At 45.1% G+C, this 16,245-nt stretch overlaps 1 protein-coding gene across 11 annotated transcripts in view; it reads right to left on the minus strand.

The window, feature by feature from the left end:
• The window catches only part of LMAN2L (lectin, mannose binding 2 like), a 34,136-nt gene that overhangs the window by 13,975 nt on the left and 3,916 nt on the right, over window positions 1-16,245 (minus strand). For 6 of the 11 annotated variants that reach the window (NM_001322350.2, NM_001322347.2, NM_030805.4 and 3 more), the window contains 2 exons: window positions 14,506-14,623; window positions 13,616-13,698 (listed from right to left, as the gene is read on the minus strand). In NM_001322350.2, coding sequence (NP_001309279.1) covers window positions 13,616-13,698; window positions 14,506-14,515 — 93 coding nt within the window. In that variant the 5' untranslated portion in view covers window positions 14,516-14,623. The remainder of the gene's footprint in view (window positions 1-13,615; window positions 13,699-14,505; window positions 14,624-16,245) is intronic. The other 5 variants (NM_001322351.2, NM_001322356.2, NM_001322346.2 and 2 more) reach the window with 1 other exon arrangement.

Below are 16,245 nucleotides of genomic sequence, written 5' to 3' on the forward strand. Positions count from 1 at the left end.
GTAGTCCCAGTTATTCAGAAGGCTGAGGCAGGAAGACTGCTTAAGCCTAGGAGTTCGAGGCTGCAGTGAGCTATCACTGTGCCACTGCACTCCATCCTGGGCGATAGAATGCAAGACTCAGTCTCAAAAGAAAAAAAAAAGACTTGAGGAAATGTTTTTTTAACTGGATGGCATGGTATTGTTAAATTTTCTTCCAGTTCAAAGGAGGAAAAAACAATCATCACATCAAAAAAAAGTATGAGGAGTATCTCAAAGTATGGGGAATACCTCAAAAACAACTCCCAAGCTCTTCTCCCCACTCTCTAGCTATTTCTGCCTCCCCAGGGGTGAGGCCCAAACATCTCACAGAAAAGAATGAAGGCCAAGACCGCAACGGTTACACTCTGTGCTCTCATTCCAGGAAGGCCTCTTCTCATTCATTACGCTCTGATTTCAACGGAAGCACATTGTAGCTCCAAGATTGCTACTGACTTCCCTGCAACTTTTCACCAACATCTGGGTAGGTTTGTGTGAGAAAGTGATGATCATCAGCTGATGACTTGATAGTGCAAGATAATCAGGTTATCTTTACCTTTTTTTTTTTTTTGATTTTTTGTAGAGATGAGGACTTGCTATGTTGCCTAGGCTGGTTTCAAACTCCTGGACTCAAGCTATCTTCCTGCCTTGGCTTCCCAAAGTGCTGGGATTATAGGCACGAGCTACTGTGCCTGCCCACTGGTGATCTTTTAATCAACATTAAAAAATAACTACAATACAGCCAGGCGCGGTGACTCACGCCTGTAATCCCAGTGCTTTGGGAGGCTGAGGCGGGCAAATCACAAGGTCAGGAGTTCGAGACCAGCCTGGGCAACATGGTGAAACCTCGTCTCTACTAAAAATACAAAAATTAGCCAGGCGTGGTGGCAGGCACCTGTAATCCCAGCTACTCGGAATGCTGAGGCAGGAGAATCACTTGAACCTGGGAGATGGACGTTGCAGTGAGCCAAGATCACGCCACTGCACTCCAACCTGGGCGACAGGGTGAGACTCAGTCTCAAAAAAAATAAATAAAATAAATAACTACAACACTGAGATATAATTCACAGTCCACACAATTCACTTAAAGTATATAATTCAATGGCATTTAGTATATTCAGAGTTAAGATTATGATTACCACAACCAATTTTAAAACATTTTCATCACCCCAAAAAAAAATCTCATGCCCACTAGTAGTCACTCTCCTCATCTCCACCCCACATTACCCCAGCCCTAGACAACCACTAATCTACTTTCTGTCTCTACAGATTTGCCTATTCTGGACATTTCATATGCATGGGATCATACAATGTGTGGGTCTTTTGTGACTGGCTTCTTCCACTTAGCATAGTGTTTTCATGGGTCATCCATGTTGGAGCACATATCGATACTTAATTTCTTTCAGTCTTTTTTTTTTTTTTTTTTTTTTTTGAGACAGGGTCTTGCTATGTCACCCAGGCTGGAGTGCAGTGGTGTGATCAAGGCTCATTGCAACCTCGAGGTCCTGGGCTCAAGTGATCCACTCACCTTGGTCTCCTAAAGTGCTAGAATTACAAGTGTAAGCCACTGTGCCTGGCAATTACTCCTACTTTGTTTTTTTTTTGAGACAGTCTTGCTCCATCGCCCAGGCTACAGTGCAGTGGCAATCATAGCTCACTACAGCCTTGACCTCCTGGACTCAAGCAATCCTCCTGCCTCAGCCTGCAAAGTAGCTGGGACCAGCTAATTTTTTTTGTTTTTTGTAAAGATGGGGTCTCCCTATGTTGCCCAAGCTGATCTAAAACTCCTAGACTCAAGCAATCCTTCCACCTTGGCCTCCCAAAGTGTTGGGATTATAGGCACGAGCCACCACACCCAGTGATACTTATTTTCATTGCTGATATTTCCATTATAACAATATATCACATTTTGTTTATCCTCTAATCCAGTAGTCCTCAACCTTTTTGGCACCAGGGACTGGTTTCCTGGAAGACAATTTTTCCATGAACCGGGGAGTTGGAGGGGGGGTGGTTTCGGGATGATTCAAGCACATTACATTTATTGTGTACTTTCTTTCTTTTTTTTTTGAGACGGAGTCTCACTCTGTTGCCCAGGCTGGAATCCAGTGGCGCGATCTTGGCTCACTGCAAGCTCCGCCTGCCAGGTTCACGCCATTCTCCTGCCTCAGCCTCCCGAGTAGCTGGGACCATAGGTGGCCGCCACCACGCCCGGCTAATTTTTTTGTATTTTTAGTAGAGACGGGGTTTCATCGTGTTAGCCAGAATGGCCTCAATCTCCTGACCTCGTGATCCGCCCACCTTGGCCTCCCAAAGTGTTGGGATTACAGGCGTGAGCCACCGCACCCGGCCTGTGTACTTTATTTCTATTATTATCACGTTATAATATATAATGAAATAATTATACAGCTCACCATGATGTAGAAATCAGCGGGAACCCTAAGCTTGTTTTCCTGCAACTAGATAGTCCCATCTGGGGGTGATGGGAGACAGTGACAGATCATCAGGCATTAAATTCTCCTAAGGAGAAAACTAGATCCCTCGCATGCTCAGTTCATAAGAGGGCTCCTGCTCCTATGAGAATCTAATGCCACCACTGATCTGAGAGGAGGCGGAGCTCAGGCAGTAATGAGAGCAATGGGGAGCAGCTGTAAATACAGATAATGCTTCACTTGCTCGCCCACCATTCACCTGCTGTGCAGCCTGGTTCCTAACAGGTTGGGGACCCCTGCTCTAATCAGTTGATGGACATTTAAGTTGTATCCATTTCTTGGCTATTATGAATAATGCTGCTATGAACATTCATATAAAAGTTTTTGTGTAGGCCGGGTGCAGTGGCTCATGCCTATAATCCCAGCACTTTGGGAGGCCAAGGCGGGCGGATAACTTGAGGTCAGGAGTTTGAGACTAGCCTGGCCAACATGGCAAAACCCGTATCTACTAAAAATGTAAAAATTAGCCAGGCGTGGTGGCAGGCGCCTGTAATCCCAGCTGCTTGGAAGTCTGAAGCAGGGGAATCACTTGAGCCCAGGAGGCAGAGGTTGCAGTGAGCTGAGATCACGCCACTGCACTTCATACTGGGCAACAGAGCAAGACTCCATCTCAAAAAAAAAAAAGTTTTGTGTAGATGTTTTCATTTCTCTTAGGTACACACCTATGAGTGGAATTGCTAGATCATGTAAAGTCTATGTTTAGTCATTTGAAGAAATGTCAAACTTTTCCAAAGCAACTACACCATTTTACATTCCCACCAGCAGTCTATGAGGGTTCCAATTACTCCATATCCTTGCCAACACTTCTAATCTTTTTTATTTTAGCCATTCTAGCGGGTGTAAAGTAGTGTCTTATGGTTTTAATTTGCATGTCCCTGATGGCTGATGATGCTCAGCCTCTTTTCAAGCTTCTTGGCCACTTGTATATCTCTTCTAGAGAAATACCTATTAAGATCTTTTGCCCATTTTCTAATTTGGTTGTCTTACTATTGAGTTGTAATAGTTCTTTACGTTTCAAACAAATCTCTAATAAGATATGATTTGCATATATCTTTTCCCATTCTGTAGGTTCTTTACATTTCCTTGATGATGTCCTATGAAACACGTAAGGTTTCAATTTTGATGAAGTTCAATTTATCCTTTTCTTTCGTTGCTTTTTCTTTTGGTGTCACATCTAACAACTGCCTGATCCAAAGTCAAGAAGAATCAATCCGATATTTTTTTTTTCTAAAAGTTTTATAGTTTTAATTTTTACATTTAGATCTTTCATCCATTTCGAGTTAAATTTTCTGTGTGGTGTGAAATAGGGAATAACTTCATTATTTTACACGTGGATAACTAGTTGTTGAAAAGATGATTCTTTCCCCATTGAATTATCTTGTGGAAAATTAATTGATTAGACCGGGCACGGTGGCTCACGCCTGTAATCCCAGCACACTGGGAGGCCGACGCGGGTGGATCACGAGATCAGGAGATCGAGACCATCCTGGCTAATATGGTGAAACCCCATCTCTACTAAAAACATATATATTAAAAAAAAAAATAGCCAGGCGTGGTGGCAGGCACCTGTAGTCCCAGCTACTCGGGAGGCTGAGGCAGGAGAATGGCGTGAACCCAGGAGGCAGAGCTTGCAGTGAGCCGAGATCGTGCCACTGCACTCCAGCCTGGGAGACAGAGCGAGACTCTGTCTCAAAAAAAAAAAAGAAAGAAAAAGAAAATTAATTGATTAAATGTGACGTTTTATTTCCAGACTCTCAGTTCTATTCCATTGATCTGTATGTCTACCCAGATGCCAGTAGCACACTGTCTTTATTATTGTAGCTTTGTAGTAAGTTTTGAAATCAGGAAGTGTGAGCATTCCAACTTCACTGTTTGTCAAGATTATTTTGGTTATTCTGAGTCCCTTGAATTTCCATATGGATGTTAAGATCAGCTTGTGAATTTTTGCCAAGAAGCCAGCTAAGTTTTTGAGAGGTAGGGACTGCATAGAGCAATGTGGGGAGTACTGCTATCTTAACAATACCAAGTCTTCCAATCCATGCCATAGAACATCTTTCCATTTACATGGATCTTCTTTAATTTCCTCCAATAATTTTTTTTACTTTATTTCATTTTTGAGACAGGGTCTTGCTCTGTTACTGAGGCTAGAGTGCAGCGATGCGATCGTGGCTCACTGTGGACTCACCCTCCTGAGCAAACCTCCACCTCAGCCTCCCGGGTAGCATGCATCACCCACCACACCAGGCTAATTTTTTTTGAGACAGAGTCTTGCTCTGTTGCCCAGGCTGGAGTGAAGTGGCGCAATCTCAGCTCACTGTAGCCTCCGCCTCCCAGGTTCAAGCAATTCTCCTGCCTCTGCCTCCCGAGTAGCTGGGACTACAGGCGCACACTGCGAAGCTCAGCTAATTTTTTTATTTTTATTTTTATTTATTTATTTTTTTTTTGATGGAGTCTTGCTCTGTCGCCCAGGCTGGAGTGCAGTGGCGCGATCTTGGCTCACTGCAAGCTCCGCTTCCCGGGTTCATGCCATTCTCCTGCCTCAGCCTCCCAAGTAGCTAGGACTACAGGCGCCGCCACCATGCCTGGCTAATTTTTTTGTATTTTTAGTAGAGACGGGGTTTCACCGTGTTACCCAGGATGGTCTCGATCTCCTGACCTCGTGATCCGCCTGCCTCAGCCTCCCAAAGTGCTGGGATTACAGGCGTGAGCCACAGCGCCCGGCCTATATTTTTAATAGAGACGGGGTTTCACCATCTTGGCCAGGATGGTCTTGATCTCCTGACCTCGTGATCTACCCGTCTCAGCCTCCCAAAATCCCTCCCCTGTTGGGATTACAGGTGTGAGCCACCACGCCTGGCCTAATTTTATTTTTTGTAGAGACAAGATCTTGCTGTGGTGCCCAGGCTCATTTCAAACACCTGGCCTAAGGTGATTCTCCCACTTCAGCCTCCCACAAGTGCTGGGATTATAGGTGTGAGCCACCACACCTGGCCCCAACAATATTTTGTAGTTGTCAAAGTTTTTCTATTAAATTTTCTTTTTTTTTTTTTTTTGAGACGGAGTCTCGTTCTGTCACCCAGGCTGGAGTGCAGTGGCGTAATCTTGGCTCACTGCAACCTCCACCTCCCAGGTTCACGCCATTCTCCTGCCTCAGCCTCCCAAGTAGCTGGGACTACAGGCGCCCGCCACCATGCCCGGCTGATTTTTTTGTATTTTTTTAGTAGAGACGGGGTTTTACCATGTTACCCAGGATGGTCTCGATCTCCTGACCTTGTCATCTGCCCGCCTCAGCCTCCCAAAGTGCTGGGATTACAGGCGTAAGCCACCGCACCCGGCCAAATTTACTTCTAAGTATTTTATTCTTTTTGATAACACTGCAAATGGAGTTGTTTTCTCATTTCATTTTCAGATTGTTCACTGAAAATATATAGAAATAAACCTGATTTGCCAGGCGCGGTACCTCACGCCTGTAATCCCAGCACTTTGGGAGGCCGAGGCAGGTGATCATGAGGTCAGGAGTTCAAGAACAGCCTGACCAACATGGTGAAACCCCATCTCTACTAAAAATACAGAAATTAGCCAGGCGTGGTAGCACGTGCCTGTAATCCCAGCTACTCTGGAGGCTGAGGCAGAAGAATCACTTGAACCCAGGAGGCGGAGGTGGCAATGAGCAGAGATCATGCCACTGCATGCCAACCTGTGTGACAGAGCAAGACTCCGTCTCAAAAAAGAAAAAAAAAAAGAAATAAACCTTTTTAATAATATTTTATAATATTTTTGCATATTTTATAATATTTTTGCATACTGATCTCGTATCCTTCAACCTTGCTAAATTCATTTAGTAGTTCTAATAGGTTTTTTTTTGTGGATTCCTTAGGATTTTCCATATTCTGTCATCTGCAAATAGAAATAGTTTTACTTCCTTTCCAATCTGAATGTCTTTTATTTCACTTTCATGTCTCTTGCCCTAGCTAGGTCCTCCAGTACAACGTTAAACAGAAGTGATAAGAGTGAATATCCTCATTTTATTCCTGATCTTAGAAGGAAAGAATTCAACTGTTTACCACTAAATATGTTAGCCGTGGGTTTTTCTAGCCAAGCACAGTAGCTCACGCCTGTAATCCCAGCACTTTGGGCGGCCGAGATGGGCAGATCACCTGAGGTCAGGAGTTTGAGACCAGCCTGGCAAACATGGCAAACTCCCGTCACTACTAAAAATACAAAAACTTAGCTGGGAGTGGTGGTGGGCGCCTGTAATCCCAGCTGCTCAGGAGGCTGGGGCAGGAGAATTGCTTGAACCCAGGAGGTGGAGATTGCAGTGGGCAGAGATCATGCCACTGCACTCCAGCCTGGGTGACAGAGCAAGATTCTGTCTCAAAAAAAATAAAAAGGTTGGGTGCAGTGGCTCACTCACACCTGTAATCCCAGCACTTTGGGAGGTCGAGGCGGGCAGATCACTTCAGGTCAGGAGTTCAAGACTAGCCTGATCAACATGGTGAAACCCCGTCTCCACTAAAAACACAAAAATTAACCAGGTGTGGTGGTGCACGTCTGTAATCTCACCTACTTGGGAGGCTGAGGCAGGAGAATTGCTTGAACCCGGGAGGCAGAGGTTGCAGTGAGCCAAGATCACGCCACTGCATTCCAGCTCAGGTGACAGAGCGAGACTCTATCTCAAAAAAACATAAAAATAAAAAATGTGTGTGTGACACACACACAAACACATATATATATATATTAGCTGTGGGTTTTTTCATAGATGCCCTTTATCAGGTTGAGGAAATCCTCTTCTATTCCTAATTTGTTGAGTGTTTTTATTATCAAGAGGTATGAAATTTTGTCACTTTTTCTCTATCTATTGAGATGATTATATGTTGTTTGTCCTTTAGTTTACTAATGTGGTATATTATACTAATTTTCAGATGTTAAACCACAGTTGAGGGGCCGGGTGCGGTGGCTCATGACTGTAATCCTAGCACCTTGGGGGGCCAAAGCAGGCAAAGCACTTGAGCATAGCAGTTTGAGACCAGCCTAGGCAACATGGCGGAACCCTGTCTCTACAAAAAATACAAAAATTAGCCAGGTGTGGTGGCGCATGCCTGTGGTCCCAGCTACTGGGAAGGAGGCTGAGGTAGGAGGATTGAGCCTATATACTGAAGTCTCTCACCCTCTTCTCAGATGCATTACTGGTTGCTATGATTTTCCCAATATTTTCTCATGAACAAATGTGGTAAGAGGTTGAGCAACAGGGTCATGTGGACTCTCGTGACAAGGAAACAAGAAACCAGAAAAATGTTTTTACCACTGTCTTGAGGAATTTCATGAATTGTTCCACACGCCCTCCTACCTGCTCCTTGTCTTCCTTGTCTAGGACATCTTCTGCACACATACCACGGTCATTTGTAAGTTCTCAAAAGGTACAGTATTTGTCACCCTCTTTTAATGAGCTCAAAATAATAAAGCAATAATAATCAGACTGGAGTCTCTGGAGTCAGACCCACTACGTGTGTGACACTAACAAGTTCTGTAACCTTTCTACATGCACTTCAGTTTCTTACCCACAAAATAGAGATAATACTATCATCTACCCCAAAAGGTTGTTATGATAAGTAAATAATGTATGTGAAAGTGCTTAGAACAATGCCTGGCGCCTTTATGTATATTGAAGTAAACCATGCCACTGACAAACACATTTGATTTTACCCTCTTAGATAGTTGTAGGGTGTTGGGATGTAGAAAGGAAGATACTTTCCATACTCTCTGGACTGAATATAAGATCTAAGAACTGAAATTGCACTGGCCAGGCGCGGTGGCTCACGCCTGTAATCCCAGCACTTTGGGAGACCGAGGCGGGCGGATCACGAGGTCAGGAGATCGAGAGGAGATCGAGACCATCCTGGCCAACACGGTGAAAACCCGTCTCTACTAAAAATACAAAAAATTAGCCGGGCGTGGTTGCAGGTGCCTGTAGTCCCAGCTACCCAGCTATTCCGGAGGCTGAGGCAGGAGAATGGCCTGAACCCAGGAGGCGGACCTTGCAGTGAGCTGAGATCGCACCACTGCACTCCAGCCTGGGCAACAGAGCAAGACTCCGTCTCAAAAAAAAAAAAAAAAAGAAATTGCACAGGACAGCATATGAACATAATATTAACAGGCTGGGTGCGGTGGTTCACGCTTGTAATCCTAGCAGTTTGGGAGGCCGAGGCGGGTAGATTACTTGAAGTCTGGAGTTTGAGACCAGCCTGGCCAACGCAGTGAAACGCCGCCTCTACTAGAAATACAAAAATTAGTCAGATGTGGTGGTGTGTGCCTGTAATCAGCCAGACTGGGTGGAGTGTGCCTGAAATCCCAGCTACCCCAAAGGCTAAGGCAGGAGAATCACTGAACCCAGGAGGCGGAGGTTGCAGTGAGCCGAGATCATGCCACTGCACTCCAGCCTGGGTAACAGAGCAAGACTCCATCTCGAAAAATAAAATAAAATAAGGCCAGGCGCAGTGGCTCACCCCTGTAATCTCAGCATTTTGGGAGGCTAAGGTGGGCAGATCACGAGGTCAGGAGATCAAGACCATCCTGGCTAACACGGTGAAACCCCATGTCTACTAAAAATATAAAAAATTAGCTGGGCGTGGTGGCAGGTACTTGTAGTCCCAGCTACTCAGGAGGCTGAAGCAGGAGAATGGCGTGAACCCGGGAGGCGGAGCTTGCAGTGAGCTGAGATCGCACCACTGCACTCCAGCCTGGGCGACAGAGCAAGACTCTGTCTCAAAAAAATAAATAAATAAAATAAAATAAAACAAAATAATAATAATAAATGTCTCTATTCTCAAGAAAGAAGTCAACCTGACAGAAAAAAAAAAGGATGGGAGCTGGTAGAACATCATAGATAAAAGCACAGCTTCTGGAATCTGGTGGACCTGTGCTTCACTTTATATCGACTATTACCTTGAAACAGACACTTAACTTCTCTAAGCCTGTTTACTCACTGGTAAAATGGGAAAAATACAGACTATAAGGAGGTTTGACGAGGATTAAGACAATATTTGCAAAGTACCTGGCACACAGCAGCCATCTAATAAACAGCAAGTGATTTTATTTTTTTTTTAATGGCTTTTTTTTTTGAGACAGAGTCTTGCTCTTGTCGCCCAGGCTGGAGTGCAAGGGCATGATCTTGGCTCACTGCAACCTCCGTCTCCCAGGTTCAAGTGATTCTCCTGCCTCAGCCTCCCAAGTAGCTGGGACTACAGGCGCCCGCCACCACACCTGGCTAATTTTGTATTTTTAGTAGAGACAGGGTTTCACTATGTTGGCCAGGCTGGTCTCGAACTCCTGACCTTGTGATCTGCCCGCCTCAGCCTCCCAAAGTGCTGGGATTACGGGTGTGAGCCACCGCGCCCGGCCTTAAATTTAGTTTTATAAGGATAAAAGGAACCCATGTTAGTCCAAGGGTTCTCAACCTCGGCTATACATGTGAATCTCCTGGAAAGCTTTAAAAGAGGAAGGCTGCCTAGACTGCACTTCAGACGAACTGAATCAGAAGCTCTGGGGTTGGGACTGGATGTCAATATTTTTAAAAGTTCTCCAGGGAATTACAATGTGCACTTGGAAGTAAGAACCACAATAGCTAGCCAGAAAAGATGTCTCAATTTTTACCATCTAAAATAAATTTTTTTTAATTAACATCTACAAAATCCTTACAAAATAAACCCAAGTCAGAATTTCTACTTTCTCAAACCAGAATTACTACTATCTCATGGTGAAATGGAAGCTAACAGAGTTTGAACAATTTGTTTCTGGAAGAAACAGAGAGACAAGTTTAAAACTCTTGTCAGGCCCTAAAGCTGATAACTCTTATTCAGATCCATTTCTAACTACCACTATTTCCTCAGCATGACTACAAATCCAGTCATGATCCTCTCTTCAATAAAATCCTTTAATGTACCTACCCCTTCAGAATCAAGTCCAGACTCCTCAACAGGAACACAATCCTTCAGAACTTGGCCCCAAGTGGTATATGGTGAGCATGAGTCACATACATTCAGTCTGCTCTGGCTCTCATCTAAACAGTTCAGCCACCAACCACCCAAGCAGATGCCAGTCAGTCTCAGCGGCTAGTTAACATGCCGAGGCTACAGTGTTAATATTGTAGAATGCAAGGTGAACAGCAGCCCTAGGAACTGTGCAACATAACAAGACTACTGGCCCTGCTTTTCATTCTAGCCTCATCTGTCTCTGATTCTACTTTATTTCCACACACTCATTATCCCCTCTCTCTCTCTTTTTTTTGAGATGGAGTTTCACTCTGTCGCCCAGGCTGGAGTGCAGTGGCGTGATCTCAGCTCACACTGCAACCTCCACCTTCCAGGTTCAAGCGATTCTCCTGCCTCAGCCTCCTGAGTAGCTGGGACTACAGAAGCATGCCACCACACCTGACTAATTTTTGTATTTTTAGTAGAGACGGGGTTTCGCCATGTTGGCCAGGATAGTCTCGGTCTCCTGACCTCGTGATCCACCCGCCTTGGCCTCCCAAAGTGCTGGGATTACAGGCATGAGCCACTGCACCCAGCCTCATCATCCCCTCTCTTAACCTTAGGACCTCGGCTTTTTTCCCTCTGCATGGGACACGGGTTCCTTACTCTGCAGACCTCAACCTAAAAGGCACTTCCTGGAAGAAGCCTTCCCCACTACCACCAACACTACTGCCCCACTTCAGGTTAGAAGCTCCTGCTGTGTCCTCCCATAGTGCCCCAGAGTTCCCCCATCAGCATTCTCAGTGCTACTGAGTACAAGGACCATGTTATCTTGCTCACTAATTCCCAGGGCCTGGCACCTAGAAAGTGGTTAATGTATGTGGAATGAAGAACAGCCCAGAAGGAACACAGAGAAGCAGCTGTAACTGATCCACAACAAAAGGTTATTCTCCTAACTCAGGTCTCACATTCCACCACCTTTAAAGTGAGCTCGCTGGGCACAGTGGCTCATACCTGTAACCCCACCACTTTGGGAGGCCAGGGTGGAGGAATCACCTGAGGTCAGGAGATGGAGACCATCCTGGCCAACATGGTGAAACCTTGTCTCTAAAAATACAAAAATTAGCTGGGCGTGGTGGCGTGTGCCTATAATCCCAGCTACTCAGGAGGCTGAGGCAGGAGAATGGCTTGAACCCAGGAGGTGTATGTAGGTTGCAGTGAGCCGAGATTGCACCACTGCACTCCAGCCTGGAGACGAGCGAGACTCCATCTCAAAAAATAAAAAAAATAAAAAATAAAAAGTGAGTTCTGTGGGAAATGTTAACAGCTGTTGAATCTAAGCATCACAGATACAATGATCATTCTCTATTCTTCTAATTTTTTTTGTTTATTTTGGTGACAGTCTTGCTCTGTTGCCCAGGCTGGAGTGCAGTGGTGTGATCTCAGCTCACTGCAACCTCCGCCTCCTGGGTTCAAGCCATTCTCCTGACTCAGCAACCTGAGTAGCTGGGATTACAGGCTGCAGTGCAATGGCGTGGTCTCAGCTCACTGCAACCTCCACCTCCCAGGTTCAAGTGACTCTCCCACCTCAGCCTCCCAAGTAGCTGGGACTACAGGTTAACACTAATACTAATAAAAATACTAATTTTTGTATTTTTAGTGGAGACAGGGTTTCATAATGTTGGCCAGGCTGGTCTCAAACTGCTAACCTCAAGTAATCTGCCCACCTCGGCCTCCCAAAGTGCTGGGATTACAGGCGTGAGCCACCATGCCTGGCCTTCTAATGTTTTTTAAGTTTGAAAATTTTCATAATAAACCTTTGAGGAAAAAAATAATGTGACCTTTGCCTCTATTTCTAATCCTGATTTCCTCGCTAGGTACTTAGCTACAGGATACCCAGCAACAACCTGTCATAATTTCCCACCATCTGATGGCAGTGCCGTAGGACATAGAGAGAGTACAAACCCACTGTCAATATAAGAAAGCAATAGCCGGGCATGGTGACTCACGCCTGTAATCCCAGCACTTTGGGAGGCCGAGACAGGCGGATCACGAGGTCAGGGGTTCGAGACCATCCTGACCAACATGGTGAAACCCCGTCTCTACTAAAAATACAAAAGTTAGCTGGGTGTGGTGGCATGCGCCTGTAGTCCCAGCTACGCGGGAGGCTGAGGCAGAAGAATAGCTTGAACCTGGGAGGCAGAGGTTGCAGTGAGCCGAGATCGCGCCACTGCACTCCAGCCTGGGCGACAGAGTGAGACTCTGTCTCAAAAAAAAAAAATTAAAAAAAAAAAAGAAAGCACTAAAAAACTCTTAGGTCAGGTAACAAAAAGGCCTGCCAACAGCCAGATACTAGGTTCCAACAAAATGCTGGGCTTTCATCAGTTTCCTTCTCGTTATAGCCTTTTCTTTCTTTCTTTTTTTTTTTTTTGAGACAAGAGTCTCACTCTGCTGCCCAGGGGGGAGTGCAATGGTGTGATTCTCTTGCCTCAGCCTCCCGAGTAGGTGGGATTACAGGCACCCACCACCACACCCATCTAATTTTTATATATTTAGTAGAGACGGGGTTTCACCATGTTGGCAAAGCTGGTCTCGAACTCCTGACCTCAGGTGATCTGCCCACCTCGGCCTCCCAAAGTGCTGGGCTTACAGGTGTTAGCCACCACACCTGGCCAATTATAGCCTTTTCTATAGGCGAGGAGAACTGTTCTTCAGGTCTGAGAAGAAGAAGAAGAAAAAGAAGCTGAAAAGTGTGTGCAAGTTGCAGAAGAGAGCACAGCACTGATGGATTAAAAGTCAGGGGAGGCTGAGTTACGTAAATTCAGCTTGCTCTGGTGCTGGTCTAGCAGCCAAATCACCAATCAACCAAACATGCTCAATTTTAGTGGCTATCTAATAGGCACAAGAGAGAACATGATTATCACTAAAGAAAAAGCCCCTGTTCAAGACAGCTATTCCCAAAAGACTGTGCACTCCTAAATAGTCCCTTTAGAAAAAAACACTGACAAGGACATTAACTTTCAAAGTTCAACAGATGAAGAACCCCTCACTTTCTATCTCCTTTGTTCCCTCCTGTACAACATTCCTGAGGCAAAGAACTGTGATGTCAGTGTAGCTGACCTAGGCTCTGACACTTGCCATTACCTCTTGCTGCTTCTCCTCATTGGGGTAGGTGTCTACAAATACTCCCAGCCCCACAAATTTGTCCATGTTTCCAAACACAGGCCCTAGAGAGAGAGAACAGATGATGAACAATGAAATAAAGCTAAGAGTTGATAAAGGAATAATATATCACTATGATGGAGGAAAAAGTAAAATTCAAATGACTCCCAAGCCTCTCTCAAGATGAGAAAACACATGTTTAAAAGTACCCAGCAAAGTGCATGGCCTGTAACAAGTGCCCAGTAAATATCTGTAATTGTTTGTTGTTGGAGGCAAGGGAAAGAGAGAAGGCCACTGCAACCTTATTTAGCACTCAGGCAGCTTCCTGATCCAAACTGGTTGCTAAGGTGCCCCTACAGAATTCTGCTTTACAAACAATTGGTAAAGACTATGCCCCCAAGAGAGAACTGAATTCCCTAGTTCTCCTTCTTGTTGCAAAAGAGATCAGGTCAAATCAGGTTGAGCCTGCCATCTACATGGAGCAATAATAGCTCTAACACAAGGAAAATAGATAACTCTTCTCTTGACTCAGCAGTGCTGAGATCATTCACTGTAAATGTTCAGAAGAAATCAGCTCACCCAATCGTCAGCGTTCAGGAGAGCCAGTGCTTTCATCCAGCCAACAGGCCAGGTAGTTTCACAAGGAAACTCAGAAAGAAGTAACAAGCAAGCAACTGCCTCAGGATGAGTCAAATTCAGCTGCTTATGAGGACTCAGACCCGTTCTAGAGACTAGAAGGGCCAGTGTTCATCCACATACATTAAGGGAGAGGGAAAACAGCTGGCACTGTGGGGAAGGAACCTTTTCAAAAAGAGGGCACATGAAAAATCAGGCTGTCACACCCACACAAGAGTAACACAGGCTCCCAATACCTGGCTGCATCCGATCCTTTGTGTACCAGATTGCCAAGCCATCCCCATGCAGATTCTTCTTTCCTTGTCCATGGATTTTGAAGTGCACCTGCAACTCCCAGTCTCTCAGGAAACATGGCTAAAGTGAGAAAGACATTAGAATCAATGAGGAGCATGAAATGCAAAACCCCTCAAGCCCACATCAGCAATCAACAGACTTGGAAAACACAAATGCAGGTAACACTAGACTAAGGGTTAAAACTTAAATCTAAGACTTGCTATGTGTTCATGTCATAAAATTAAACGGATTGAACCATTCAACTGTTTAGAGATTTAATATGAAAATGAATAAACCTCCCGATTATCTTCAACATTTCCCAACAGAAACAGGACAGAACTCCAAAGTTGGAAAAGACAAGAGTGTACCAAACTCCACTCCTGTGATCCTACACCCACCCAGCAAAGTAGCTCGGCTTTTAGAGTACAGATGGCTGAATTCATACTCATTTACAACTCAAGATCACCCCTCAGACAGAAAGACTCTGAAAAGCTGGATTTAAAGAAAGGTCAAAGCCTAATTTATTACAGTAGAAAAAGAAAAGCTAAGCTGTTATGCAAACGTTTCCAGGAATAATTAGCAGATACTACAAACAACTCTAATTAGCTAGACCTGGCCCTCTGCCAAGCTGAGGGGTAAGCCAGAATTCTCACAAGAAGAGCAAGTTACAGTCCCCAAACCCTCCCGTCCATGGCCAAGAAGCTTAAATGCACTTGAAGATGGATGCAAGTGGATGGTTAAGTGTTTTAAATAGTTGAACGGTTTCAAGAAAAAACCAGAGTGGGTAGTTGATTTAGGGAAGCTTCTGGTTAAAAGTCTACTGTGAAGAAAGAAGTGAAGGAAGAACAGACAGACCAGCTGGGTTCAGCCAAAGGCTCTCCAAATAGACTGTTCTGGGCAACTATTGCTAGATCATTTTCAGTTTTCATTCTTTATTTCTGGGATATTTTCCAACAGTGTTCATATTAGAAGTACACAGTCAAAATGAAAGGGGATTGGGTACTCCTGCATTGAGCAAGGGGCCTGAAATCTCCTACTCTATTGAGCCAGTCTCTGTCTTGTCACTCTGGATTCTTATCTCTCTGCTGTTTCATTACGATTTCAGAGAAACGGCCCAGCGCGGTGGCTCACGCCTGTAATCCCAGCACTTTGGGAGGCTGAGGTGGGCAGATCACAAGGTCAGGAGATCGAGACCATCCTGGCTAACACGGTGAAACCCCGTCTCTACTAAAAAATACAAAAAATTAGCCGGTGTGGTGGTGGGCGCCTGGAGTCCTAGCTACTCAGGAGGCTGAGGCAGGAGAATGGCGTGAACCCAGGAGGCAGAGCTTGCAGTGAGCTGAGATCATGCCACTACACTCCAGCCTGGGCGACAGAGCGAGACTCCATCTCAAAAAAAAAAAAAAAGATTTCAGAGAAAGGCCAGGCACAGTAGTTCACGCCAGTAATCAAAGCATTTTGAGAGGCTTTGGTGGAGGATCATTTGAGCCCAGGAGGTCCAGGCTGCAGTGAGCTGTGATAGTGCCACTGCACTCCAGCCTAGGCGACAGAGTGATGAGACCCTGTTTCAAAAAAATAGCTTTCAGAGAAAGAGTGAAATTCAGTGGGGCAGGAAGCTGCCAGGAGGTAGGTATTATGCCCCTGGGAAGAGGGCAGAGTCACAGAAGTTCCCAGTGAGCCAAGAGGTGTCTGTCACTGATTCC

The sequence above is a fragment of the Homo sapiens genome, chromosome 2 (genome assembly GCF_000001405.40).
Source record: "Homo sapiens chromosome 2, GRCh38.p14 Primary Assembly".
In the NCBI taxonomy this organism is placed as follows: Eukaryota; Metazoa; Chordata; class Mammalia; order Primates; family Hominidae; genus Homo; species Homo sapiens.